The sequence below is a fragment of the Homo sapiens genome, chromosome 9 (genome assembly GCF_000001405.40).
Source record: "Homo sapiens chromosome 9, GRCh38.p14 Primary Assembly".
Lineage (NCBI taxonomy): Eukaryota > Metazoa > Chordata > Mammalia > Primates > Hominidae > Homo > Homo sapiens.
Window position 1 is genome coordinate 133,769,409 of NC_000009.12, and position 26,043 is coordinate 133,795,451.

A 26,043-nucleotide genomic window follows, 5' to 3' on the forward strand; every position below is an offset into this window, starting at 1 on the left:
AGCGGTACCTGACCAGAAGGGAGCGGAGGGGCCCTGAGAAGCAAAGCTGAGGCCCTGAGGACTGAGAAAAGAAAAGTTGTAGGAAGCACAGGAAGCTGCAAAGAGGCGAGAGAGAACGTGAGGCGGGCAGCAGGGCATCCACGCACAGTCACGGTGGGCACAGCTACAGGCCGGGGGGCATGGGGTGGGGCAGGCCCTTTGGCAGGAGAGGCCCTACAGGGGGGCAAAGGAGGCAGGGGGCAGCACGGGTTGTCAAGCCCCACCCAGGCACAGGTGCCACTCGGCCACACCTGAGCTACCCTGGAACCACTCTATGCACCCGTGTACTCGAGAGCAAATTGGGACCACCTCCTCTCATGCCCTCGCCTGGCACATAGCAGGTGCTCACTAAGGCCAGCTGTTCCTCTCCTGTCCAGCTCGGCCTGTGTGAGACCCATGGCCCTGCAGGACCCTGCAGGCTGGAGGACGTGGGGTGACTCTGGAGAGAGTCCTGAGCGGGAAGCCGCATGCTCGGGGCCTGCCCCTGCCCCTGATTCCGTGTGGCCTTCCCTGTTCTGAGCTGTGGAGTCCAACCTGCAAACAGGCTGCCTCTCACAGAGGAGGCCCAGGGGCTGGGCACAGGGAGGGATCTGGGAACAGGTGGGCCTGCCCTTTTCTCTCCCACCTGTGACAGCTCCATGCGCAGGGGTCTCTGCCTGGACCTGGCCCCTCCAACCCCCACTGGTCTCTGGGTGAAGAAGCCAAGACACAGAGTAGCAATTCTGAGCAGGTGCAGAGTCCCCGCCTGTCACATGGCCCAGGAGATGCCACATGACAGCATCTGCGATGGCTGGGGGAGGGGCGGGGGCTGTGTTCCCCAGGGTGGGACTCCTGGTCTGGGTCTGTGAGGGCAGGATCTGAGCCCTGGGAAGTGGGCCAGGGCAGACCCCTCCGAGGAGTGCTGGTGTGCCGGCTGGGCCGGGGCGTTACCTGGGGACCGGCTGGAGGCCCTGGAGGCCGAACGTTCCCGGGACTTGTAGGGGTACTTGAGTGTGGTGTCCAGCTGCTTGAAGCTCTCCTTCAGTGAGTGGCACTGGTAGTACTCCACCAACTCCTGCAGGGCGTACACACTCACTGACAGCTGCTGCCACCTCCAGGAAGTCCTCCCCCAGTGACCTGGCCTCCCTCTCCCACCTCTTGGTTCATGTGGGGGAGACTAGCTTCCTGGACTCCTCAGAACTCCCCACATCCCGCCAGCCCATGGTGGGTGGTCAGTACCTCGAAGGTACCAGCAACTCCCCCAAATGTTTCTAGAAAAAATAATCTGCAAAAGATGCCAAGACTGACCAGCACGGACACTGACTGCAACAGCCTTTATAAAGGAAAGAATGGAAACACTCTGTACCCAGCACTTGGGGTAAGCTTCTAGAAATAACAGGATCTCCAAGTGACAGAGAGCCATGCGGCCATCAGCCAGGGGAAGATTCATTAATGGTGAATGTTTGTGGCCTTGAAAAGTCGCCTAAAAATCAGCTGGGGCATTGCCAGCATTATTATTTATATAATAGAAACCAGACCCAAGCTGTGTGTAGAGAGGTCCTGAGGACTCACTGAGATGCCAACGCTGGTTTCCGCTTTTGTTTTTTTGGAGGTGGGGATGGGATTATGGATTTTCTTTTTTTTTTTTTTTTTTTGAGACAGAGTCTTACTCTGTCACCCAGGCTGGAGTGCAAGGGCGCAATCTCGGCTCACTGCAATCTCCGCCTCCTGGGTACAAACAATTCTCGTGCCTCAGCCTCCCAAGTAGGGGGGACTACAGGCGTGTGCCACCATGCCCGGCTAATTTTTGTATTTTTTGTAGACATGGGGTTTTGCCATGTTGGCCAGGCTGGTCTCGAACTCCTGACCTCAAGTGATTCACCCACCTCGGCCTCCCAGAGTGCTGGGATTACAGGCATGAGCCACTACGCTCAGCCCGAGATTATGGATTTCTGCTTGACCTTGTGCTTTTCTGTGGCCATAGCGGGGAAGCTAAGAGCCTGGGGGCTCTAATCAGGAGTTCTCAATATATACAACTTTTGTAATTAAGAAAAGAAAATGTAGGCATAACTTTAAAATCATTTCAAGGACTATGCCTCTAACTGCATTCTGGCTGGGACAGAGGGTGGGGGTGAGTCGGAGAAGAAGCTGTTTGAAGCCATACATGTGTAATGGGGCTACCCGGCCAGGCCCCAGCTGGAAGCCCCACTGGGCGTCAGTTTCTGCTCTCGCAGGAGGATGGGCATGAGAGGAATCTGGGGCTGCTGGTGGCCTGGGCTGCCCCTACCCCACCCCTGCACTGTTTACCAGGGTCAACCACCTTGCTCAGGCTTTGGGGGTCAGAAGTCCCAATTCAGGAGGCTGGGACATAGCTCTAGCTGTCCTAGTGCCTTAAAAACCAATTCCCTAAATCTTGGCCACACTGGGAAGAATCAATCCTCACAGAAAACATGGCCACTCGCTCAGGGCCGGGAGGAAGCACCTGTCCCCTGTGGCTGGGGTGGGAGCCGGCCGGAGCCAGAAGTCACCTACCAGGAGGCTGTCGAATTTCTTGGCCTCTGTGATGTGGATCCAGTTGTCCTTCTCCACCACCTTGATGTGCTTCACCTCATCATTGAACCTGAGCAAACACACGGCCCCGGCGGTCACCGCGTGAGGGCCACACGGCCCCGGCCCCCTTGGCAGCCAGGCTCATTCTGTGTTTGCTGCAGCAAAGCCCCTCGTCCCTGGCCCCCAGGGCCACTCCCTGTCAGCCCTGTCCTACCCCAGCCCTTCGGGCCACCAGCCCCAGACAGCTCCTGCCACCTGCCTGCCTGCCCTCCTTGCTCGTTTGGGGCCCGGAACCCCTGGCTGCTCAGCTCCCCGCCTCTCCTGGCCTCTAGCCCTGCTGAGGCCTCCTGTCCTGGGCTTCTGCTCATTTGCTTTTCAGTACCAGGAGCCTCTCCTCCTCCCTGTGGAGCAGCCGGGCCCAGCCCTGACATCTCCTGACATCCTTCCCTGCATGTCCACTTGGCCGGCCAGGCCTCGGGCCTGCTCCTCAGAGGTGCCGAGCGCAAGCCTGTCTGGGCCTCGGCACCGGCTGCTGCCCCTGCCAGACACTAACCTCCTTCTGTCCTCAAGGCCCCCTTATGTCCTCACGTCTCAATTCAAATGTGACCTTACAGAGGAGCCCCCATATCCCTCCCCTGAATGCCACCCACCCCCTTGCCAGACACAGACATCACAAGAAAACTACAGCCCAATGTCCCTAATGACTATGGATGCAGAAATCCTTAGCAAGCAGCTGGCAGACCAAATCTCTCTCCCATACAGTCAGGCGGCGTTTAACCAGGGAGACCTGTCCTGAGAGATGCAGGCAGGTGCTTCCATCACTGTACGAACGCCACGGAGTGCATTTATATAAGTCTGGATGGCATTGCCTACTGCACACCCCACACCTAGGCTGGACAGCAGAGCCTACTGCACACCCCACATGTAGGCTGGACGGCAGAGCCTACCACACACCCTATACCTAAGCTGAATGATGGAGCCTACTGCACGCCCCACAACTAGGCTGGACGGCAGAGCCTACTGCACACCCCACACCTAGGCTGGACGGCAGAGCCTACTGCACACCCCACACCTAGGCTGGACGGCAGAGCCTACTGCACACCCCACAGCTAGGCTGGACGGCAGAGCCTACTGCACACCCCACACCTAGGCTGGACAGCAGAGCCTACTGCACACCCCACACCTAGGCTGGACGGCAGAGCCTACTGCACACCCCACACCTAGGCTGGACGGCAAAGCCTATTGCTCCCGGGCTACAGACCTACTGAATACTGTAGGCAGTTGTAACATGAGGTCAGCCTAGAAAAGGTATGGTAAAAACACAGTAGAAAAGATAAAAAACAGGACAGCTGTATGGGGTGCTTATCATGACTGGAGCTTGCAGGACTGGAAGTTGCTCTGGGTGAGCTGGAGAGTGGTGAGTAAATGTGAAGGCCTAGGACATTGCTGTGCACCACTGTAGACTTTATCAACGCTGGACACTGAGGCTACACTACATTTATTTTTAAAACATTCTTTCTTCAATCGTAAATTAACTTTATAAACTTCTTAATTTTTGTTAACTTTTTGAAGCTTGGGTAATAATACTTAGCTTAAAACACAAACATATTACACAGCTGTACAAAGATATTTTATTCTTTGTATCCTTATTCTATAAGCTTTCCTGTTTTTTTTCTTTGTTGTTGTTGTTTTTACTCCTAAGACAACAATGCCTTCTTCTAGAATGTCTCCTGAAGGACGTGCCTGAGGCTGTTTTACAATTAAGTATTTTTTTGCTGAGTAGAAGGAGTATGCTCTAAAATAAAAAGCACTGTATAGTGAATCCATAAACCAGTAACACATTCATGTATTACGATGATCACATACTATGTATGTGCAGAATTGTTTGTCCTATGCTTCTATATGACTGGCAGCACTGTAGGTTTGTTTACACCAGCATAACCACACTCACATGAGTAATGGGCTGCGCTATGATGTCACCAGGCCATGGGAACATTTCAGCTCCATTATAATCTTACGGGACCACCACCACATATGGGGTCCCTCACAGACTGGAATGTCATTATGTGGCCGATGACTGTATTTATCTACATAAACCAGACACATAGCAAGGACTCCACACCACAACCCAGTGGGACATTCCAGGAATGCAAGGTTGGTTTAACATCTGGAAATCAGCTAATGTAATAAACAGTCATTAAACAAATGGTGGCCTGGCTGCCTGGTCCTCTGTGAGGCCTTCATACAGCACCCATCTTGTTTCTCCCTGGATTTAATGTGCACCATGAGTGTGTGCGCCCTACCCCCAGCTCCTGGTCGGCAAGGCCCATCTTAGCCTCCTGCAGGCCAGGCACACAGAAGGCTTTCTGAGAATTTCTTTCAGGTGGGCAATGTCCCACCAGCTCAGTGCTTGGTGGGCTCCAGCCCATCAGGGTCGGTCTCCTGGAGAGTTAACTGCAGCCCCACAAGGAGGCGGCTCCCAGGGAGAGGGCATAGGGCAGGAGGATGCCCAGACTGTGCCAAAGCCGCAAGGCAGCAGTAGTCACAGGAGACACCCTCCTAGGCCCCTGGCTGCCTCAGAGCAGCACGACAGGTCCACTCTCTCAACCTGTGGGGCTGCTGGGAAATCCCTGAGCTCACACAGGATCTCACCCACCCACTTGTACCTGAGCTTATCTGGTTCCCATGACCCAGAAATGTCCAACCCAGCCCACAGGGCAGCCAGGAGTGATGTAAGCATGGACCATCTGTGCATGCCAGGGGTTCAGGCCCTGCCCAGCACACCTGTAGAGACCCCCTGACCCCTCAGCACCGCTTTCATCTCAATAATGTCCTCACTTGGCAACAGATGACATGTCCACCCCAACCCCACGAGCTCAGGACGTGGAGAGGATGGTGCTCTCCACTTCAGAACGGCATTGGGGGATGGGTCTCCTCGAGCCCAGAGCCGCCACTTACTTGATGCTTATTGCAAAGCGCTCAGCCTCGGCAGGCCGCTCCCTGATCAGGTAGGTCCCGCTGGCGTGGGACTTGAGCAGGTTGTCCGTCTGCTGCCTCTCCATGTTACCTGCAAACCTACAGGAGGGGGCCGGGAGGAAACGAGAGCCGCAGTGAGGACAGTGTCTGAGGGGTGCCCAGCCCTCCGTGCGTGGCAGGCCACATGAAGTACTCTGCAGTCCTCATCTGAGAGCTCATCTCCTAATGAACCCAAGAGAACAGGCTGGGTCCCTATGAGCGGGGCACCACTGTGGATGGGGTCTGGCATCTGACCCTTCCTACAGTGGGATACAGTGAGGCTCAGGACAGATCTTGAGAGGGGTTAAATAGAGGGGTGACTGTGGCCACCAGCCAGTCCCACATGCTGTCTTCTGCTCTACAGACCCCAAGGGCCTGCCAGAGGAGTTCAGCGTATTCAGTAGATCCAATTTCTTTCCTAAAATATATTTTCACTATTTCAAAAGCAGTAAAGGCATAACTGCTTATGTGGATTTTTTTGGTAACACATTGGAGATTGCCAACATCCATGTCAGTTGAATTTTGAACAGATTTTGAAACGAAGCTCTTCCTGCCACCTGTACTGCAATGAAGCCCACCCTGAGAGGGCAAGGCAAGCTCTCTCCCAAAATCTGCTGCCACACTGTCAGGACAGTTGGGACTTCTGTGATTTCAAACAGCCTCACTGTTCCCACCAAGCAACTGTATTGTCAGTAAGTGGATTACACCTGTGACCTCAAATATACCACTTTTATATAGTGCAGATAAAATTCAAAAAGGGTTTAATTCCCTGAAATATCTGAGCCAGTTGAGCTGTTTTAGAGAGGGTTAACAGCTGCCTACAGGAGAAGGACTCCCCCAGGCTCCTGGAGAGTTATAGGCCAGGAGGGAGAAGGCATTTGGGAGCCACTGGGCTCAGTGCCCTGGAGATGGCAACAGGCAGCCTGGGGCCTCCACCCTGCTGGGCCGCTCACAGGCACCACCCAGACCCGGCGGGCATGCCCCCATAACAAAGAGGCCACCAGATGCCCATGTCTGCAGCCCACGATCCACTCACCAGGGGTATGCAGTGTAGTCGATCTCCCGGGATGGCGGCCGGCTGATGGGCGGCTGGTGGCAGAGCACAAGAGTGTTAACGGCCCCCCAGGGCCACTCACAGAGCAGGGCTCAGAGGGGGTCATTGTCAGTGACTGCCCTGTCCCCACATTGGCTGCCCTGGAGGGGACTGTCTGTGGACTTAGCCCCAGCGCCCCTGGCCTGGGAGGTGCCCAAGGGTCGTGGCCAGGACAACCTCATCTCTGAGTAGATGCCCCGTGGGTCTGATGGAACAGATGTCGGCATAGCCACCAGCTAACACTGACTTGATCCCCTGGGACAGCAAGGACCGAAGGTGCGGGAAGTTTTCAGCCAGTGGATGTGAGACACCCACAGCCAAGCTCCCTGCTCCAGAGGTCTGGAAACCCCGGGGTGGGGGTCTGGTGGTGGCCACACTCAGGCAGGTGCTGCCGCTCCAGTGAGCAGGTAGGGCTCCCTCCCTGGCTACAGCCCCCCACCCTGGCCTCACTGGGCCACAGGCTGGGCACAGCCTCAGAGACTACCTCTTCCCTCGCACCCTATTCACCATGCAGATGGGGAAACTGAGGCCTGGGGAAGGGAAGGAACCTGCCCCAGGCCACCTAGTGAGTTTGTGACCCTTGTCCTCCCCTGCCGCCTGGTCCCCTTGGTCACGCAAAGTGCCCTAAGTGCTGAGCACCTGCCCTTTCAGCAGAGGTAGCACACAGGCGGACGGGACTGGGGCTGGGGTCGGGGAGCACCGGGGCTGCCGCAGTGGGGTTGGGAACCCACCCCTGCACCTTCAGAGGTTCCACGCTCTCACTCTGAGCTGTCCTTTCGGGGTGGAGGTGGGGTAACTCATTTACTCAAGGCTGCCTGCTGCCTTTCATCACAGAGCCGAGAATTCGCTCCATATCCCTCAGATGAAAGAAATACCATATTGCCTCTGTTTTAAATAGCATAAAGTCTAGCTTTGAATCCTTATGTTTGAGGGGAGCCTTTTTTTCTCTCTAAGGCTGCGCAATAGTCCAAGAGATCTTATAGAGTCCCCGAAATCTGGTGAAAGGCAGCTGGCTGGTCTTCACCCCATTACAGCTGCTGCAGAAATGCCTGTTTTGGTGTTTCTAAAACCACAACGAAACGACACCCGATCGGCTGAGCCCTTTAAACAGAGGAGAGCGTGCTGCCCCACAGCCCCCCACCCATCTTCTCTCTGGGCTCCAGCTCCAGGAAGCAGCTCACAGCAGCCTAAATTTAGCAAGGATGTCCTGAACAAGCCAAAAATGTCCACGTGAGGAGGCAGCTCCCAGAACCCTCAGCACCCAGGCCACCGTGCTCCAGAAGCTTCTGTGGGAAAGGACTCACCCTTCCATCCACAGGGCAGGGCTTCACAGATGAGCTGGGGAAATACCCTGACTTCCTGGTTTGTACCAGACGACCCTGGCAGAGGAAAGAGATGGTTAGGACAAGGGGGCCGAGCCTGGCCTATGGGAGTGTGGGGCCATTTAGACGGACTCAGCGTATGCCAATCCCGCTCCTGGAGGGTGGGAGAGCCAATGTCTTCTTTCCCAACCTCAGCTGACCCGGCAGCCAGTTAGGGCAGGGAGGTGCAGGGCCTCCCACCCTAGACATGAGAGCACTAAGGCCTGGCACAGCACCAAAGCACCTCCACAAGGCCCCCCCAAGAAGCTGGCAGCCCTGGTCATACCCGGGGAGGGACAGAGCAGGACTGATACTCTGCACAGCTCAGATGGCCTTTTGCACCCTCTGAACCTCCTGTTACATGAATGTAGGGTCTGGTACAAGAAATCCATCACCGAGTATGGACTGATAATGACCATGACAAAATGACCACAGCATCATTGTAACCTGAACATTAACAAACATTCGGCTCTAATGTCAGCTCCCGCGGGAAGCTACCTTGCTGGGCTAAGTGCCCTCGAGGCCCCGTGGCGCTCTGCTGACCTGTGGGTCTTGGGGCTCCCTTGAGCACTGGGGCTTGGTAGAGGGGCCGAGGACTGGGGGTCTGAGTCCTTGGCTCAGACGCCCGGGTGCCAGCATGCTCAACGACATGGGGTCTCAGCGTGTCAAGAGAAGGGCAAATGTGCCCAGAACCCTTTACAGCCCAGCCATCTGCTGAAGGTGGGGATGAACGCCCACAAAGGTCCCCGGGATGAACGCCCACAAAGGTCCCCACTCTGTGGGCCTTGGAAACAGAGCAGCACATTCCTGGCTCAGAACCATAAACGACATCACGATGACAACATCTGTGCCCACCTGGGGAAGGAGCGAACCTGCCCGCTCACCCCACGATCATGCGAAGGTTGCTGGCCTGAACTGAGGTAGGGGTGGGGAGGAGGGTGGGCATGGCATGGCCAGGGCAGAAGCCTGAGGGCCTATGAGACACAACAGAGGCAGGAAGGACAGAGGACAATGGAGAAAGGCCTTGGGTGCCAGGGCAGGAGGGCCTCTCCTGGGAAGGGACGCTGCATCGCCTACCATGTCAAAGCAAACACCCGGGGAGCCCAAGCTAAGGTTCCCAAGAACACATGCCATGGCGCAGAACGGGGCACTGAGGCAGGAGAGGCCTTGCTAGGCCCCCTGTGCCTCCTCCTCCCTGGTGGTCTCTCACCTCTCTGCCTCTGCCTGGGGATGTGCAGGACTTTATGCTTCTGCCCCAGGGAGCAGGGAGGAGCTGGAGCCGGGGACCCTCGACCCTCCCGGGCCCCAGGACCCACCTCCCACCACGGAGACTCAGGGTCGCCCCTCAGCAGCTCAAGCACGTCGCCCGTCTGGAAGGTCAGCACAGGCTTCCCGGGAGGGGCTGGGTTGCCATGGTAATTCTGCATGGCCACCATCTTGGGACCTGCAAAGGATAGGACAGCTCACTCAGTGACTCAGCAGCTCACTCGGTGACTGACTTGGCCCCGGCCCGCAGCCCACCCCATCACCAAGCTCGGCCTCCCCCAGCACACACAGCCTTGCGCCTGCATCTCCCTTCCCTAAATCCTTCCCATAAGCCTCATGTCTTTTTGATAAATATCATAATTATTTATGCAATAGACAGATTCAGGGGTCATCATGGAACAGCAACTTATTTTCAGATGGCACTTTGTGTTTTCTTCCAAACACCCTTCAGATCTGTGGCCCACAGGCAGCTGTGCGGGGCAGAAGACGGGGGATCCCTCGTGTCAGAGACGGGCGACGGGTCAGCAGGCCCAGCAGCTTGCCCAAGGCCACAGAGCTCACAGAGGTGCTCTGGGCCTGAAATGGGGGTCCTGGCTGTGCCTCCAGGGAATGTGGAGGCTGCTCTTAGACAAGCCTTGCTCTGACCCAGCCCTGCCTGTAGCTCTCAAGGAGCCCATGGCTCTCCCAGCCCAGCTCCCGCCTGGCCCAGCAGCAGCAGCAGCATTTTTCATCTTTTGTCCTCTGCCGATGAGGGTGAGGCTGTACTGAGCACTGCCTGGACTGCACTCAAGTTTGCAGAGAACACGATGCTTTTTACGCTGTGTCTAGAAGCACGTTTCCATTAAGCAACCCGCAGCAAGGCAGGAAGGGGATGGAGAACGTGGTGGGAGAACAGCAGCGCCTTTTGATCTCAGGTCTCTGGCTGCAGTTCGGTGGCCCTCCCTGGCTAGAAGGCCCTTGCTCCTCTGCAGGCTGGGTCCTGTCCCTACAGCCTGGTGCTGCCTTATCAGAAACAGAGCCACCTCCCAAGGAGGTGCCATAGAGGCCAGAGAGGCAAGAGGGAGGGGGCCCAGATGGCAGCATCCAGGAGCCTGGAGCGTCTGGTGGCTGGGCAGACCTGGCCATCACCACACCTAGGCCCTGGCTCAGCTCCCAGGTGATGGCTGACATGGGTGATAGCAGAGGGCCCAGGTCCAGAAGACTCACCTGGTCCCGCTCCGGAGGCGTCCTGTGAGGACAAGGACAGAACACAGAGATGAGGGAAGGCTGCTCTTTGACTGTGGCCCATGCATCAACGCACCCCGCCCTCCCTGTCCCCACTAGTTCCTAGATAGAGGGGTCAAGGCAGGAGCAGGGGAGGAGAGGGACACTGTTCCCTATGGGACGCCCCCACCCTGGCAATATATTTCACCTCTGTGCACCTCCACTCCTGGAAGGTCTGTGCCCTTCTCTCTCCCACTCCTTACCACGGGCCCCCACCTCCTCCAGGAAGCCTGCCCTGACCACCTGCTCTGAGCCTGGGCTTTGTGGTGTCCATCTGGGACACACAGTGCCAAATACGACTAAGTTTCCATCCTCCATGGAGGCTGGTTCATGTGGACCCCATAGCTCGAGGGGCACACGAAGCCCCTGGAAGTGACTCCATCCCCACATCAGCTAAACAGAGGGCTCTGAGCCAACTGGGGGACTCGGGGGCAGGAGGGCTGGTGCAGGTCCCAGAGCTGTACCCATAGCCGCGAGCAGCCACTGGGCAAGGGAATGAGGCGGGCAGCTGGGATCGGAAGACACCGCTGGGGCCCCTAGGAGGACTCTAATGACACCCACCAAGGAAAGCAGAGGCATCTTGTGACCAAAAGTGGCTCATCCAAGCCGGTGTGGCCCCATGAGTGGTGAAAGGCAGACAATTGGGTCTTTCTGGCTCTGCGCACACAGGGATGTGGCGGGGGTGGGGCAGAGGGAGGGGAAACACTCTGGGGACTTACCAGATCTGCAGGAGAAGCTGGAAAGGAAGCAGGTCAGGTGTTAGAGGGGAGGCCACCGACGCCAAGGCCCCGTGCAGCTCTCACTCACACCGCCCCGAGCCTCTGGGCCGAGCTTAAGATGGTAAGTGAGCCAAGCTACAAAGTGGTCTGTTTTGGACATGGATCATGGACACACAGGTCCGAGCTCATGGCTGTGAAAGCCTCTCAGTTACTTCTGGCAGCAAATTCTGAGCTCTGGCTTTAGGGGGCCCATGGGAGAACTTGGACTGGGTAATAGACCTGAGCTGGCAAAAAGGTTATCCCGCCTGGGCCACCTCTTTTGAATGGCGGCAGCTGCCTGGATCATGGGGTGGTACCTGGCACTCAAAGGGGAGATTTCCACAATCGCTTAGTGATGCCTGCTGGGGCACGTGATGAGGAAGCATTGGTATGCATGCTACCTGCCACAACCGCTTAGTGATGCCTGCTGGGGCAAGTGATGAGGAGGCATTGGTACGCATGCTACCTGCTTGCCATCCTCAGCTCAGACACCCAGGTGCCAACACGCTCAAGGACACAAGACCTTAGGTGCCAGGAGAGCCAATGTTCCCAAGGCCCTTTAGGGCCCAGCCATCTGCCAAGGTGGCTGCCACCTACCACCAGAGGAGGCAAGGAGGAAAAGGAGCCCAACAGCTCACACACATCGCTGACGTGACCTCCACACCACCCAGCACTCACAGTGCAGACAGCTCTGGGCAGACAGAGGTATCCACAGACACCACAGAACAGGTTCCAGCTCAGTGGGCAGGGGTCAGGGGTGGGGGGCAGCTGGACGGCAGCAATGACTGTGCCTGATGGGGGCTTCCCACAGGAAAGGCTCTCAGGAGAGGCCAGCATCTCTCCGGGACATCTCGGCCCCCATGGGCAGCAAACAGCTAAACCAGCCTCGGCAGAGCCCAGGGGTGAAGGCTACAATGGTCAAAGGAGCACTTTCCAGAGCCAAACCCCAGAGCAAAGGTAGAAGCCTGGATCAGAGGGAAGGCAGCTTGGACACTGTTAAGGGAAAAATGGCTACAAGTGGCAAGGACGGCGTCCCCCAGCAGAGGGATGAGGAGGGGGGCAAGGACACAGGCCCCTGGGGAGAATGGAGCTGGTGCCAGCCAGGGCGCTGCCAGGACATGGGAGAATGCAGACAGCAATGCTGGCTTCCAAAAGACCTGCAGTTCCAACTACACATACTAAGAAAAATTCAAAACCATACAGAGATGGGGTGGGCGGGTGTGCGCGTCTGCAGAAAGCAGGACAGTGCTTGGGGCCTCGTGGCAGCTGGCTTTGCCTGGGGATAGGAGGAGTAGTTTTTCTCTCCTCCTTTACACTTCTCTACATTTTCCAAATTTTCTACGGAAAATCAGTAATTAATAATCCGGCGGGGGCGGGGCGGGGGAGGAACAGAAAGATTACAAAAAAAGAAAACTTGGAAGGAAATATACCGAAACATTGCCTTTCATCATTTCTAGGTAAGTTCACGGGTGATACTTTCTTTAAAATTTCATTTCTTTTTTTTTCCTCCAAATTTTTGATAAGTAAACATTACCTTTAGAATCAGAGAAAGCAAAAAAAGATTCTAAGTAGCTGCAGCCATCGTCTGGGGACATGCGACCACGAGAGGGCAGTATTGATGGGCACAGCTGAAAAGCTGCGTTCAGGCCACAGGCTGCCTGCGGAATCCTCCAGCACTAACTCCAGGGGCTGCGGGATCCTGTGCACAGCTAGGGGGCTGCATTGGGCCTGTGATGGGGACAAGGGGGTCTGGGCTGACCTTCTGGCCCTCTCCCCAGGTTAGGGTACTGGGCTGGCACTCACAGTAAATGGTGAATTAACCATTGATCTAAAATCACAGCTCAAAATGTATTCTGGGCAATGGCGTCTCTGGGTGACAATCTCTGGGTGACAAGCTGGCCTGACTTGTTTTTCTGCCTTAAGACACCTTCAGGAGGCTCAAGGAGACAAGACCCAGAGACTCGGCCTGGGGCCACCGGGGGCTCTTTGTTGAATAGAAGCTCTGCTAATAAGTGTAGACAAATTGCTGAAAGTTTCAAGCCTCAGTTTCTGGGGCTGATGATGGAGGTGACATCCTGATGTCTGAAACCTCTCAGGAGAGAACTGTCTCAGGCTTTGCACTGCTGTCCAGCTGCCCTGAGCAGGGCACAACCCCAAAGGTATGCCCCCGACCCAAGGTGCTTCAGAGGAGCCTCCAGGGCGCATCCCTGCCTCTGCCCACTGCCAGCCTGGCTCAATCCTCTCCCCTCCCTGAGCCTCAAGCTTCCCTAAATGGGCATGAACAGAAGGGAACCACTGTAAGTGCCATGTGTGTATGCGTGCATGTGTGTGTGTGTCTGAACCATTTACTAACATGGCTATAGCTACTGATGGCCAGGCCTCACCCGCCGGGAGAACCCAGGGTGACCGGTGTTTCTGTGATGAGAAACCTCCATGCACCTGTTGAGAATGTTCTGTGCCGTGTTTGGGGGTGGAGATTCTAGAAGCTTCCTCCTGGAGTGGGGCAGGGGATGCAGGAGATGGGGAGGGGTCCTCAAGTACCCATTAGGAGAGAGGGCTTGGAATGGAATTCATCCCGGCTGTGTCTCCTGTTAAGTGTGTGACGTGCGGCAGGCGTCTGGTGTCTGCTCTGGGGCACGTGAGCACTGGTGCCCTCATCTGGTCGCTGCCCCGTGGGAGATGGTGCCCGAGGCCCGTACCCAGGTGGTAGGGGGCAGAAGTGAGCAGGCGTGGCCAGGGACTGGGGTGGGGGGGTGAGGGGGGTACTCACTGAACTTGCAGGGAGGTATCACTTCCAGGCACTCCTTGTGTGCCCCGACGCCACACTTGGTACACATGTATCCCTGGTAGAAGGTGCCCCTGCACAGGGGAGGGCAGGAGGTGAGGTCGAGGCTGGGGTCGGCTCCTCATGCCTCTCTGCCAAGGTCAAGGCCCTTGTCCCCACCCAGGCTCACCTGGCTGGCTGTCTCCCAGCACACACATCCCTCATAGCCCTGAGTATCCAGGACCCTCCCTTACCAGGCAGCCTGACACCTGCTTTCCCCTACCTCCACCAGCCTGCCTCCCTGCCCCACACAGCATCCCGGGCACCCAGGAACAATCACCTCCCGGCTAGATCTGAAACTCTAAGGGCTTGGCTGGGCCGTTTTTTTTTTTTTTTTTTTTGGAGACAGGGTCTCACTCTGTCACCCAGGCTGGAGTGCAGTGGCGACATCACAGCTCACTGGAGGCTCAATCTCCAGGACTTATTCAATTCTCCCACATCAGCCTCCCGAGTAGCTGGGGCCACAGGAGCAGGCCAACACGCCTGGCTGACTTTGGTATTTTTTGTACAGACAGAGTTTTGCCACGTTGCCAGGCTGGTCCTGAACTACTGGGCTCAAGCGATTCGCCTGCCTCAGCCTCCCAAAGTGCTGAGACTTGAGCCACCATGCCTGGCACGGGCCTGACTCTTGTGGGGTATACTCCCTTAACCCCTCAGGGCCTCCCACAGGGAACATGGGACAGATAGAACACTAAGCTCTCTCAGGGGCCTGGGCTGGGCGTGGAGCGAGGTGAGGGCTGTAGCAGGGGGTTTCCCACACCTGAGGAACATTTTGCAGGCTTTGCAGTTGGTGGTCTTGTCAAACGTGTACATCTGGAAACTGTGGTGGTTGGCATTGGCTTTGTCTGGCTTGATGTTTGACCTGGCAGGAGGGAAAGAGAGCAGATGCTACACCCACTGGATTCCCCGAGCCCCACCATGTGGCCATCCTGGGAACCAGCTGGGCTCCGGACCCAGGCTGTGCAGAATCCGAGAGGGCCTGGACTCCAAGCCTGGCTCTGCCCGCAACATGGGGCAGACTCAGGGCCCAGACTCCCTGCTCGTAGAAGGCAGGTCAGAGAAGAAGCTTTAACACTGCTGCACTGGCCTGAGAGAACCTTCCAGGTGGGGACGGTGGTCTAAGGTCCTGACTGGGCTTGGATGTGGGCAGGTGTGGGTATTTGTTAAAACTCAGAAAACATATACTTAAGATTTGTTTGCCTCATTGGATATAAGCTTGAAATTTCAGAAGCTAAACAAATATTGGGCCCCCTGAGGTACTCAGGGGGGCTGCACTGGTGTGCAATTCACTTTGACACAGACCCGCTGTTGGATGGCTGGGGTGGGGTGGGGTGACGCGGATGGCGGCAGCGTGGTGAGAAGACGGCTATTCACCATCACGTCGCTTCAGCTTCCATGAACGCTTGAACTTTTGCACAATAGGATGTTGGGGAGAAAATTACAGGCCATGGAAAGCGAGTGGCCGAAGAGAAGATGCCCCAGGCCTCCCCCACAGAGCCTGGGTGCAAACCAGCTGGCTGCATCTATTCTCACGAGCCAGGCCCTGGCCCTGCTGTGTCCAATGGTTCCCTTTCGATCCTCCCAAAAAGGCCAGAACACAGGCCTTCCCCTCTCCATTTCACCAGAAGAAACGGTCAGAGAGGCGAGTGCACCTGCCTGCAGGCCCCAGCTCACCTGCCCGCAGAGCTCAAGCACAGACAACCCTGCTGGCCCTCCAGGGTCCGTGTTCCGGGAACCCGTTCATCATCTTTCTCTGTTTCACATATCTAGGATATGAGTCCTCTTGGATCTCATGGAAAAATAGTTCTGTGGCTTCAAAAACAGGTGACAAGCCGCCAGCCCGTAAGACCCTGAAGACTGGGGTCACCAGGAATCCTCTGGCATCATGGCCACTCCCAGCCGGTCACTGCTCTGTGGGCCGGGCGTGCCAGGCTCAGCCTCAAGGGTGGGATGGCTCATTCCAGCAGGACAGCGGAGCCTGCCTGGGACAGGCTGTGGCAGAGGGAGAGCCCTCTCACTCTGGACTGATTGTTAAAGAGGATGTCACTGCTTGAGGCTGGCGTCCCAGGGGTGATGGAGGTTGTCTGTGTCCCTGACGTTCCAACTTTGCCTCCCACCGCCCCTGGTCTGAGAGGAACCACAGACACAATCCACCTGGGCTTCCACCCCCCATACAACTCATCTGCCAGGGACCTGGGGGCTGCCGCCCTGGAACTCACATGGCCATCTCAAACTGCTCCATCCACTTCCTCTTCATATCTTCTGTTTTGCAGAAAAACTGGAAGCCCTGCTTTCCTTGAAGGTGAATTAGGTAGAAGCCGTAGGACCACTGCAGGGGGGAGAGGGGCCATGCTTGCAATAGACACGGCTTCAGACATCCTGGCACATGTCCACGTGTACTCTCGCCTGTGCAGCATGTGCACGTGTGTATATGCATATGTGCACAGGTGCCTGTGCCTGTGTGAACACATGTTCTCACGTGTGTACCTGCTCTCTTGCCCATGCTGTACGTGCACACGTGCCTCTGTATGCATGCATGTATAGCTGTGTGCCCATACCCTCACGTGAGAATACATATGCGCTTGTGCCTTCACCTCTGCATGCATACTAGTGTGCTCCTGCGTGCATGGGTGTGCATCTGTGCCTGCACGCGTGTCTATGCGTGTGCACCTGTGCATGAGTGTGCCCAGTGCTCCTGTGAGCATGTGCACACACACACTTGTATCTGTCCCTGCAGGTACACACATGTACTAACACGTATGATGCACATGCACCCATGCTGTGTGAGCTCTCCTGTGGGTGCTCTCCTGTGTGTGCTCTCCTGTGGGTGCTCTCCTGTGGGTGCACACACACATGCCTGGGCAGGTCTGCACTCCTGCCTGCGCCCATGTGCGAGGATGCTCCACCGAGTGCATATGTAGATGCATGTTAAGCGGGGGCAGGATCCCAGGAAGGATGAGCGCAGGGCCCCACCCAGGGCCCCTCCACGAGGCCTGACCACCCACTTTCACTTCCTAAATGTGATGCTAAAAAAACCTCACTTCTCTGAAGTAGAACAGTAACAACAAAAAGGCAGGGAACAGCCATGGGCCTGGGGCACCCCCCGTGAAGCCATCCCCGACTGAGCAACCCACAACTGCCCCCTTCCCTGCCTCCCCTTCGGCCACCCCACAGGCCTCGCCATCTCTCCGAGCTCTCGGACAAAGGGCTTTCAAAGTGGTCCAGAAAAAAGAGTTTGGCAAATAGGAGCCTACTGGGTTAGAAAAGATGGCGGGAAAGAGGAACGAAGGGAGGGATGGAGAGGGGAAGCGTGGAGCGGGGATGGGAGGAGGAAAGAAACAAGGAAAGAGAGAGGAAAAGGGGAGAAAGAGGGAGGGAGGAGGGAGAGAACACAGAAAAACAAAAAGGATGATGGAGAGCTGAAGAGAGACCAAGAAACCCCAGCCTCTGACCCCGAGCTCCAGGGACTGAGGATCACGGAGTTTTCCTTTCACACTGTCTTAGCGGGCAAGCCTTTCATCATGAATACAAATCATTTCATCATCGGGAAAGGGAGTGGAGGACGAAGGACCAAGAAAACCCTGAGCCCAGCCCCTCAGGCCCCTGGGTCCCCTGGCTCCGGGCAGAAGTGCCAGCACCAGGCTGGGATGATTGAGGCAGGTGGGAGGACCTGGGCGCTAGGTGCTTACCATTTTCCCGTGAGACTAGGAAGCATGGAGAGGAGAGGAAGGGGAAGACGGTCAGTGAGAGGCTAAGCCCGGCCCTGTGGTGGGTGCCGCAGTGTGGAGGCGCCAGGAGCCCTGGCAGGTGGAACACCCCCCAGTGCCCAGGCTGGGGGTGGGGTGATCAGTGGGGAAAGGAATTTCTTCCCAGAGTGTTGGGTGCTGGTGGCAGGACTGCCTCATGGGCCCCAGTTACTTGTTTTGGGCATGAGGGCAGGGAGGGTCACCCTCAACAGCTCATCCAGTCTGCACTTGCTGGGTCTGGACGAGGGCTACACTGCCAGCCCTGGAGGCCAGGGACTGGACTTTCAGAACAAGGGCTCCTGACCCCCGCCCCCCACCCCACCAGGGCTGCACACGGTAGCTGCTCAAGTGCCATGGGCAGAAGCCTCAGCTGAAGCAGGACTGAACCAGACAGCCAGCCAGCAATAGCCCTATAGCCATGGTCCTGCCCCACAGCAGCTTCGGCCCCGTCCCTGTAGCCCTGGCCCCACCCGCTGGCAGCCACAGGCCCACCTCTGCAGTCCTGGCCCCGCCCCAGCAGCCACAGGCCCCACCCCTGCAGCCCTGGCCCCACCCCAGCAGCCACAGGCCCCAGCCAGCTACATGTAGAGTCTCGGACAAGCCACAGCCAGACCTACCCACAGCCCTCCTCCAAGCACCGCAGGGTGGGACGGGAGAGGAAAGCCTGCTTGCTACAAGGGACAACATGGGCTAGAGTCAGGCTGGCCAGATGGAAAGCCAAGGTTGAAAGTCCCACCCTCACTAGAGGCCTTGGGGTGGCCTCTCCCCTCTGCCTCAGTCGCCTCACTGGGGAGTGGGATTCTGGTCTTGCCCACCTTTCTGGGGGGCGCTGGGCCCGGCGAGGAGCAGGCCTGCTATGAGCAGTGGTCACGACGGCGAGGCAGTGACTCAGAGAGGAGCCTTCCTGCAGAGCGGAGACGCCCACCCCAACCCACCCGGCCAGCATCAGCGGCTGACTTCGAGTCCCCTTCCCCTGGGGTCTGGAACCCAGTGCCTCTCTCCAGGCCACCCCCACGTTCCTGGGTAGCAGGGGGGACCCGGAAGGCCCCACCTTCTTGACGTCCTTGTTGTTCATGGGGTCGTCGGTCATCTTGTGGAACAGCAGCTCGATGATCTCCTTGAGCTCGTAGCTGTAGCCCTTCCGCTTGCAGACGATGACCACCTTGTCAAACAGGAACAAGTACCTGGGCCAGGCAGCGCAGCGGGGGATCAGCACCCCAGCACTGTGTGCTCTGCTCCGAGGAGGCGGCAGGAGCTGAGCCTGAGGCTCTGGCACGCGGCTCCCTCTCCGGGCGAGCCCTGCCCTCACCTGGCTCACCAGGCTAATGCTGAGCCTCGGTCAGGTCTCGGCTGTTCCCACACTGCTTCTCCAGGAAGCCTTCCTTGGCTCCCTACCCCCGTGACTGAGGCTGTGCCAGGAGCCCTTCAAGGGGCTCCTGCATCCCCCACGCTGGCCTCCCATGCAGCACTGACCCCCGACGGCTACTCCCAGTTGATCCCGCGCTGGACTGGGAGCCTCAAGAGGGTGGGACCCAGATCTGCTGTGACCCCTGCCCCAGCACACAGTAGGTGCACAAGGAGGGCCCTGGACAAGCCTGGGCCACCGTGCGCCTGGACACTCTCCGGCAGTCATTTGGCAAAGAGCCCATCCGACCACTCTGGGCCTGTCTTGGGTTCCTGGAGGCTGAGCATTGGCAGTGAGGGGCCTGGCCCTCATCTTTGGCTGCCCCAGCCCAGCCTGGTGCCCGCCACAGGCACAAAAGCCCCACTGCTGTGGCGCCCGCTCGCTGACGAGAAGGAAGGAAGCAATTAAAACTGAACAACACAAAGCCACCGCCAGGCAGCTCTTTCCACAGGAAGGCCTGGCTTCCAGAGCCACTTAGGAGTGGCTCCCTGGGAGGGAGAGCCAGACCCTGGCGGGACGCCACCCAGCCCACAACACGCGCCCTGCTCACCTGTCCTGCTTGGTGTGGTTGACTATGGACCGGACTTTCAGTTCCCCGTCAATCTTTGGTCTTCCAAATTCCTCCAGTTTCACTTGCTGGGAAGAAGGAGAGGGGCCGTCAGCCGGGGCTGGAGCAGCCCCAGTTCTCCTGACCGCACGGGCAGGGCAGACTGTCGTGCACCCAAGGGAACTCCCCACAGGCAGCAGAGGCGGGACGAAGGGAAACAGCCCCTGTGGCTCCCAGCTGGTGCTCAGGATGGACGAGGGAGGGTGCAGAAGACCGGGAAGGGACTGGGCCTGGCAGCTTCTCTCCCTTTCCTGGCCAGCCCTGCCAAGGGGCTCCCTTCAGCTCTGGGGACAAAGGGCGATTGACGGTGCCGGTTGTGTTCACAGAGGCCGCCGCTGTGTGGAGCCCCAAGCGGGACCCGGTCGGAAAAGCCAGAAGCCCAAGCCCCACGTTCAGGAGAGAACAAACAGCGCCTATCTGCTGCAGGGCGGGTGGGGCCGGGGTCCTGCCAAGGGTGAGGCTTCGACTCAGACCCCTGTGTGGTTCGCTGAGGTTCATTTTCGTTGTCTGTCTGGTTTTGTCTCTGTGACTCTTCTGATTCAGAGAGAGCTTCTCTTGACATGTTCCCTGCGTGGCTTTCAAAGTGTCCACACAGACAGGAAAAGGTGGAGGAAAATGCTTCAAGACACGAACAGGGCCCTGCCTGGGAGGTGCTCGAGGCACAGGCTCAGTGTCTCCTTCCAAGGTCTCAGCCCCAGAGGCTGCAAGGACAGCTTTGGTGTCACATAGTCCCAGTCAACTTGCTCCAGGCCTCTGATCTCAGCTCTCACCACCTTCCCTGTGGCAATGGGATTCAGAGCCAGGACTGGGTACAGGGCCTGGCTCATGGGGATGCTCGACGCCTGCTGGCCATGCTGTTTTATTCTTGTTGTTGTCGTTTTTGAGATAGTCTCACTACGTCACCCAGGCTGGAGTGCAGTGGCGCAATCGTGGCTCACTGCAACCTCTGCCTCCCGGGTTCAAGAGATTCTCCTGCCTCAGCCTCCCAAGTAGCTGCGATTATAGGCACCCGCCAGCACGCCTGGCTAATTTTTGTATTTTTAGTAGAGACAGGGTTTTACCACATTTGCCAGGTTGGTCTCGAACTCCTGACCTCAAGTGATCCTTCCACCTCAGCCTCCCAGAGTGCTGGGATTACAGGCATGACCACCGCGCCCAGCCTGTTCTTGCTGTTTAATGAACAAGTATTACTTCTATGTAAAAACTTAAAAAACAAAACAAAACGAACTTTTCTCCTCACGTCCTGCTCACTGTACGCATTTGTGACCGCCTCGCGCAGGAGCTCACGGCAGCACGGACCCGCCAGGTGCTGATGGTGCAGGGTGCGGCCGTCCTTGGCCTCCTCTGCACCCACACATTTTAATTTCTTTCTAAAATGAAAGATGAAGGGGGCAGTATCATAATGCCCTTCAGAAGCTTATTTTTTTTTTCTTTCATCGCCGACGTATCGCAGGTGCTTTTCCGTGCCCCACGTTCGCGGAGGGCATTCTCTTTGTGCTGCTGGCACCGGGTGGGTGTGGCCTGGCCATCGGGGACCTTCCCCTGCCAGCTTCATGTCAGTGAAATCACCAGGGTGAAAATGTTTGTGATTCACCACCAGGGGTAATTTTGCCACCCAAAGGACCCTCTGGTAATGTCCAGAGGCATATCTGGTTGGCATTACTTGAGGGGGTGGGGGTGCTACTGGTGTCTGGTGGGTGGCAGGCAGGTACACTGCTCCACATCCTGTAACGCACAGGGGCAGGTCCCACAACCAAGAATGATCCAGCCCCAGACGTCAGCAGTGCTGAGGTGGAGAAGCCCAGGTTAGAACCAGCAGATCCTCGGGAAGTCGGCTCCGGTCAGCACAGACCAGGGAGTTTGCTTCCTGGGGTGGCGCATCCCCTCTCCCCAGGCAGGACGAGGTGACTGACTCGGTAGCCCAAGCCTGGCCTCTGCAGGGCCAGACTCTGGGGAGCCCCAGGAGGTGGCAGCCCTGCCTGATGGGGTCCGAGGAGCAGAGGCGACTGCCGGCCCCACCGAGCCTGGGCCCAAACCCTGTCCATTGCCCCTGGAGGGGAGAGTCAAGGTGAGGGTGGGCCAGGGGTCCACGAACCAGGGGGCGTCTCCTGCCCCTGGGAGACACAGTTCTCCTCTTGGACTTGAAGGGGTCTTCTGTCTAGGCTTGGGGGAGAAGGGGGGCTGGGCAATGAATACAGTCCCTCCCCTGTCCCCTCCCCTCCCCGTCCCCCTCCCCCCGAGCACAGGCAGTCTTCAGTGCACAGGGCACTTGGGTTGGCTGTCGTGGGCAAGGAAGCGTGGATGCTGGGGGTCTGAGATCAAACTCAGAAGTTGCCGGGCACCAGCCTCTCAACAGGCAGCCATGGTGTGGCTGCCCATGGAGCTCACTCAATACTGGGGCTGTGAACGTGACTTTATAGGTACGTCCTCATCGACCTTCCCTAGCCTGAAGAGTCAGTCTCACTCACCAAATTTTCTATAGAACTCTGAAATTCGCTGATTTTCCTCAAGGTCTCCTTGTCCCGTTTAACTTCATTGATGTACATCGCCAAGTCCTTGAAAACAAGAGGCAGAGGTGAGCGGGCTGTGCTGGGTGGGGTGTGTGTGACTGTGTGTGTAAGCAGGCTGTACTGGGTGGGGTGTGTGTGCATGTGAGCGGGCTGTGCTGGGTGGGGGGTGTGTGACTGTGTGTGAATGAGCTGTGCTGGGTGGGGTGTGTGTGTGTGAGCATGTGTGAGCGGACTGTGCTGTGGTGTGTGTGTGTGAGACAGCATGTGTGTGTGAGCGGGCTGTACTGTGTGGGGTGTGTGTGAGCGGGTTGTGCTGGGTGGGGTGTGTGTGACTGTGTGTGTGTAAGCGGGCTGTACTGGGTGGGGTGTGTGTGACTGTGTGTGTGAGCTGGTTGTGCTGGTTGGGGTGTGTGTGACTGTGTGTATAAGCGGGCTGTACTGGGTGGGGTGTGTGGTATGTGAGCGAGCTGTGCTGGGTGGGGTATGTGTGTGTGATTGTGTGTATGTGTGAGTGAGCTGTGCTGGGTGGGGTGCATGTGTGTGTGTGTGTGAGCGGGCTGTGCTGTGGTGTGTATGTGTATGAGTGATTGTGTGAGAACATGTGTGTCTGAGTGGGCTGTACTGGGTAGGGTGTGTGTGATTGTGTGTGTGATTGTGTGAGCAGGTTATGCTGAGTGGGGTGCGTGTGATTGGGTGTGTGTTATTGTGTGTGTGTATGTGAGCAGGTTGTGCCGGGTGGGGTGTGTCTGACTGTGTGGTTGTGTGTGTGAGCAAGCTGTGCTGTGCAGGGTGTGTGTGTGTGAGCGTGTGTGTGCATGCACGCACATACATGCAGGAGCTCAGCCCCCAAGGGACCCCCCCCCCCACCCCCCACCCAGCATCCAGGCACCGGGCGTTTCTGGACCTTCTTCCTCCATCCTGCCGGGGAGGCCGCCCTCGAGACAGGAGGGCTGAAAAACATCACCTCTGCATGACAGATGAGGAAACTGAGGCAGGAAAGGGAACACACTGACCGAGAGCCACACCTCGTCAGTGATGATGCCAAGAGCCCCAAACTCCTGGCTGGTGCCACTTCTTTCTACCCCATCACGTGGTCCCTCTTAAACATCCTAATAGAGGGAAGCAGCCCTGTGTGTGGGAGCCACATCAGGCCACATAAGAGCCACCTAGACTTGGGCTGACCTATGTCCCTGTTCTTGGGAAGCTTCCCCCTCCCCAGCCTCTCTAAGCCACAGCCTCCCCTTGGAGCCTGGACAGAATGAGGGGTCAGGAAGTCCCTCTCTCCACGGGTCTGGCCACCCCCACTCCGGCGCCTGCCTGCCGTGCTGCAATCCTCGTGCTGGCCACCAGAGAGCAGTGCCCACTTCAGTCCAGAAAACGCAGTGTCCAGACCTGGCCCACAGCGGAACCCAAGGGAGCCGGCCACGTGGGCGGTCCTGGCCCTGCCCCCCGAGAGCAGCGGGTGGAATTCCCCAAAATGCAAGTGACCAGCCAGGGCCAGAGCCAGAGCCAGAGCCAGGTCTTCAGCAGGTTCCCATCCCTCCCGCCCTTCCTCGTTCCTAGAAGACCTCACCATTGGCTCCCCACCCACCCCGCAGGAGGGAACTTCCTGGGGAGGCTGCAGCACGCTGTCTGAAAGGGGTGTTCCGTTTTCTTGTCGTTGTCCACTTGCCTTTAAAATAAGGAATAAATTCCCAGAGACAAGGACCCCAGTAGCAAGTCTGGAGCTCAGGACCACCCCCCTCCCAAAGGCAGAAACATTACAACTGTGACCACCGCGGCCCCTGCGTGCACCTGGCCCAATGCCTGGCATGAAATAGGAACAGATGGAAGTTGCCCGAATGAATGAGCAGGTGAGGGAAATGTCTGTACTTTGATACAGAGGCAGGACTGCAGTCAGCTCATGGAGCTTGGACCTAAAACCGCAATTCCCTTGGAGACAAACCTCAGGCCCACAGCGGCACGGGGGCTGATTCTCAAAGACGCTGCCGTACAAGGAGTGAGCCCTCAGTCCCTAGGGGAAATCAAGCCCAGGTACAGCGACGACTCCCATAGTGGCTGCATGAATGACTTCCTATATAAATTGGGAATGGATCAAAAGACTTCTAAAATCCCCCCAGCCCTGAAGTTTCATGATGAGGTTCGGTGGCTCTCAGAAAGGCAGACGCACACCCGCAAGTCACCGAGTACTTTGTGCAGCACCGTGAGCTACACTCCTGGGAAACCATCCCGTCGAGGGGCTCAGAGCCACTCGCCAGCCAGACACCGAGTGCTGAGAGTATGAAACGCAAGACCACACTCAGGGCCCGGGTGCACGGCCCACTGCACCTGCTGTCACTGTCTCAGAGCCCCCGAGGACGCATCCACGCTGGCTCACACACCGTGGCTCACAGCAGACAGGCCAGAGCAGGTGTTGGAGAGGGGCGGCTTGGGGGCTGCAGAGCTGACACCGAGAAAGTTCTGTCAGCCCGTCATGGCAGGAGGCTTTCCTGGAGCATTCCTCAGGGTGCTCGCTGCCCAGTGCAGCCGAGCGGGAATCTGAAGGTCTCTGGGACCACCTCCCGTGCCCACACACGAGTGCCCACAGGATTTGGAGTAAATTTCTCCCCGAGCACAAGCCCTGCTCAGAGAACCTCTTAGCACCGGCGGCCAAGCACTGGCCCCACTCCCGTCCCAGCCCAACAGCAGCTATAGACAGAGACAGATTACAGCCCCTCCCCCACCCAGAGGGAGCTCCTTAAATGAGGTACCTGGGAAAGGAAAAGGGGGCCCAAAGCCCAGGGGGGCTGCCCAGAGGGCAGGGGCCAGGTGTCAGAGGGCAGGACTGCAGCCCTGAGGGGGGCTGGCAGAGGTGTCCTGTGCTCCCGACGAGGGAGATGTGGGGGGGGTCGTCATCCCTCCACCCAGATGCAGCTGGAGGGGACCTACCACATGCCAGGTGCTGTGCCTGGCCTGGGGACACAGGTGACTATGGCTGACACATGCCTGGCTGGGAAGGAGATGGCACGAACAAGTGTGTCCAGGAGGAAGAGTGCCACCCACGAGGAAGCCAGTTCCCTGAGGACAGAACCCAGTGGGGGGCGATCCTCCCTGGAAAACGTTCTGTCCACAGTGAAGGCAGGATGAGCAGGACGTGGCCAGGTGACGAGGAGGAGGGTGCACCTGAGCCAACACCCGGAGCCGGGGAAGTGCAGGGCACGTGCAGGAGCCTGGGAGGGATCAAACCTGCCTGGAACTGTGCTGAACACAGCTGCGACATCAGGGGCAAGTATCCTGCAGAAGGCCGGGAGTGCCAGAGTGAGGAGCCCATGCCTGCTTCATGGGCAGAGGGAGCCACGGAAGGTTTCTGAGCAAGGGAGTGGCATGAGCTGAGCTCACCCGGACAAGGGGAGAGAGGGAGGCATGGCTGGCTGGGGGCCCTCGAAACAGCCAGGAGCGAAGGAGCTCCCCAGGCAGGTAGCTGAGAGATGGCACCGGAGGTGGCATTTTAGAAGCAGAAGCCTCAGTGCTGGGAGTGAGAAGCACTGGGCCAGAAAGCCCAGAATGGAGGCCAATGCCTGGGGGAAAAGCAGGGGGAGGGGAGGCTCAAGGGAGGTCTTGTTGGACAGGTGAGGTTAGGACTCGGGA

At 57.6% G+C, this 26,043-nt stretch overlaps 1 protein-coding gene across 9 annotated transcripts in view, besides 6 other annotated features; it reads right to left on the reverse strand.

The window, feature by feature from the left end:
* VAV2 (vav guanine nucleotide exchange factor 2) overlaps positions 1-26,043 on the reverse strand; it is a 230,431-nt gene that overhangs the window by 7,515 nt on the left and 196,873 nt on the right. For 2 of the 9 annotated variants that reach the window (XM_017015109.2, XM_017015108.2), the window contains 17 exons: positions 22,375-22,461; positions 19,850-19,935; positions 18,946-19,078; positions 18,512-18,565; positions 17,838-17,852; positions 16,368-16,477; positions 14,909-15,010; positions 14,095-14,183; positions 11,286-11,302; positions 10,510-10,531; positions 9,354-9,481; positions 7,981-8,055; positions 6,620-6,672; positions 5,527-5,643; positions 2,551-2,638; positions 970-1,093; positions 9-95 (listed from right to left, as the gene is read on the reverse strand). In XM_017015109.2, coding sequence (XP_016870598.1) covers positions 9-95; positions 970-1,093; positions 2,551-2,638; positions 5,527-5,643; positions 6,620-6,672; positions 7,981-8,055; positions 9,354-9,481; positions 10,510-10,531; positions 11,286-11,302; positions 14,095-14,183; positions 14,909-15,010; positions 16,368-16,477; positions 17,838-17,852; positions 18,512-18,565; positions 18,946-19,078; positions 19,850-19,935; positions 22,375-22,461 — 1,387 coding nt within the window. The other 7 variants (NM_001411028.1, XM_017015110.2, NM_003371.4 and 4 more) reach the window with 5 other exon arrangements.
* Positions 5,498-5,724: a silencer, noted in NCBI's record as "fragment chr9:136640028-136640254 (GRCh37/hg19 assembly coordinates)". NCBI's record gives its function as "represses an EF-1alpha promoter that drives an FKBP-Casp9 reporter gene in an ReSE screen in phorbol 12-myristate 13-acetate-treated (for megakaryocytic differentiation) K562 erythroleukemia cells {active_cell/tissue: K562(+PMA)}" and the evidence as "EXISTENCE:reporter gene assay evidence [ECO:0000049][PMID:32094911]".
* Positions 10,423-11,390: an enhancer, noted in NCBI's record as "H3K4me1 hESC enhancer chr9:136644953-136645920 (GRCh37/hg19 assembly coordinates)". NCBI's record gives its function as "activates a minimal SCP1, AML or CMV promoter by ChIP-STARR-seq in naive H9 embryonic stem cells {active_cell/tissue: H9 hESC(naive)}" and the evidence as "EXISTENCE:reporter gene assay evidence [ECO:0000049][PMID:30033119]".
* Positions 16,861-17,270: an enhancer, noted in NCBI's record as "active region_29249". NCBI's record gives its function as "activates an Ori minimal core promoter by ATAC-STARR-seq in GM12878 lymphoblastoid cells {active_cell/tissue: GM12878}" and the evidence as "EXISTENCE:reporter gene assay evidence [ECO:0000049][PMID:35858748]".
* Positions 17,542-18,094: an enhancer, noted in NCBI's record as "H3K4me1 hESC enhancer chr9:136652072-136652624 (GRCh37/hg19 assembly coordinates)". NCBI's record gives its function as "activates a minimal SCP1, AML or CMV promoter by ChIP-STARR-seq in primed H9 embryonic stem cells {active_cell/tissue: H9 hESC(primed)}" and the evidence as "EXISTENCE:reporter gene assay evidence [ECO:0000049][PMID:30033119]".
* Positions 18,381-18,540: a silencer, noted in NCBI's record as "silent region_20465". NCBI's record gives its function as "represses an Ori minimal core promoter by ATAC-STARR-seq in GM12878 lymphoblastoid cells {active_cell/tissue: GM12878}" and the evidence as "EXISTENCE:reporter gene assay evidence [ECO:0000049][PMID:35858748]".
* Positions 23,611-23,660: an enhancer, noted in NCBI's record as "active region_29250". NCBI's record gives its function as "activates an Ori minimal core promoter by ATAC-STARR-seq in GM12878 lymphoblastoid cells {active_cell/tissue: GM12878}" and the evidence as "EXISTENCE:reporter gene assay evidence [ECO:0000049][PMID:35858748]".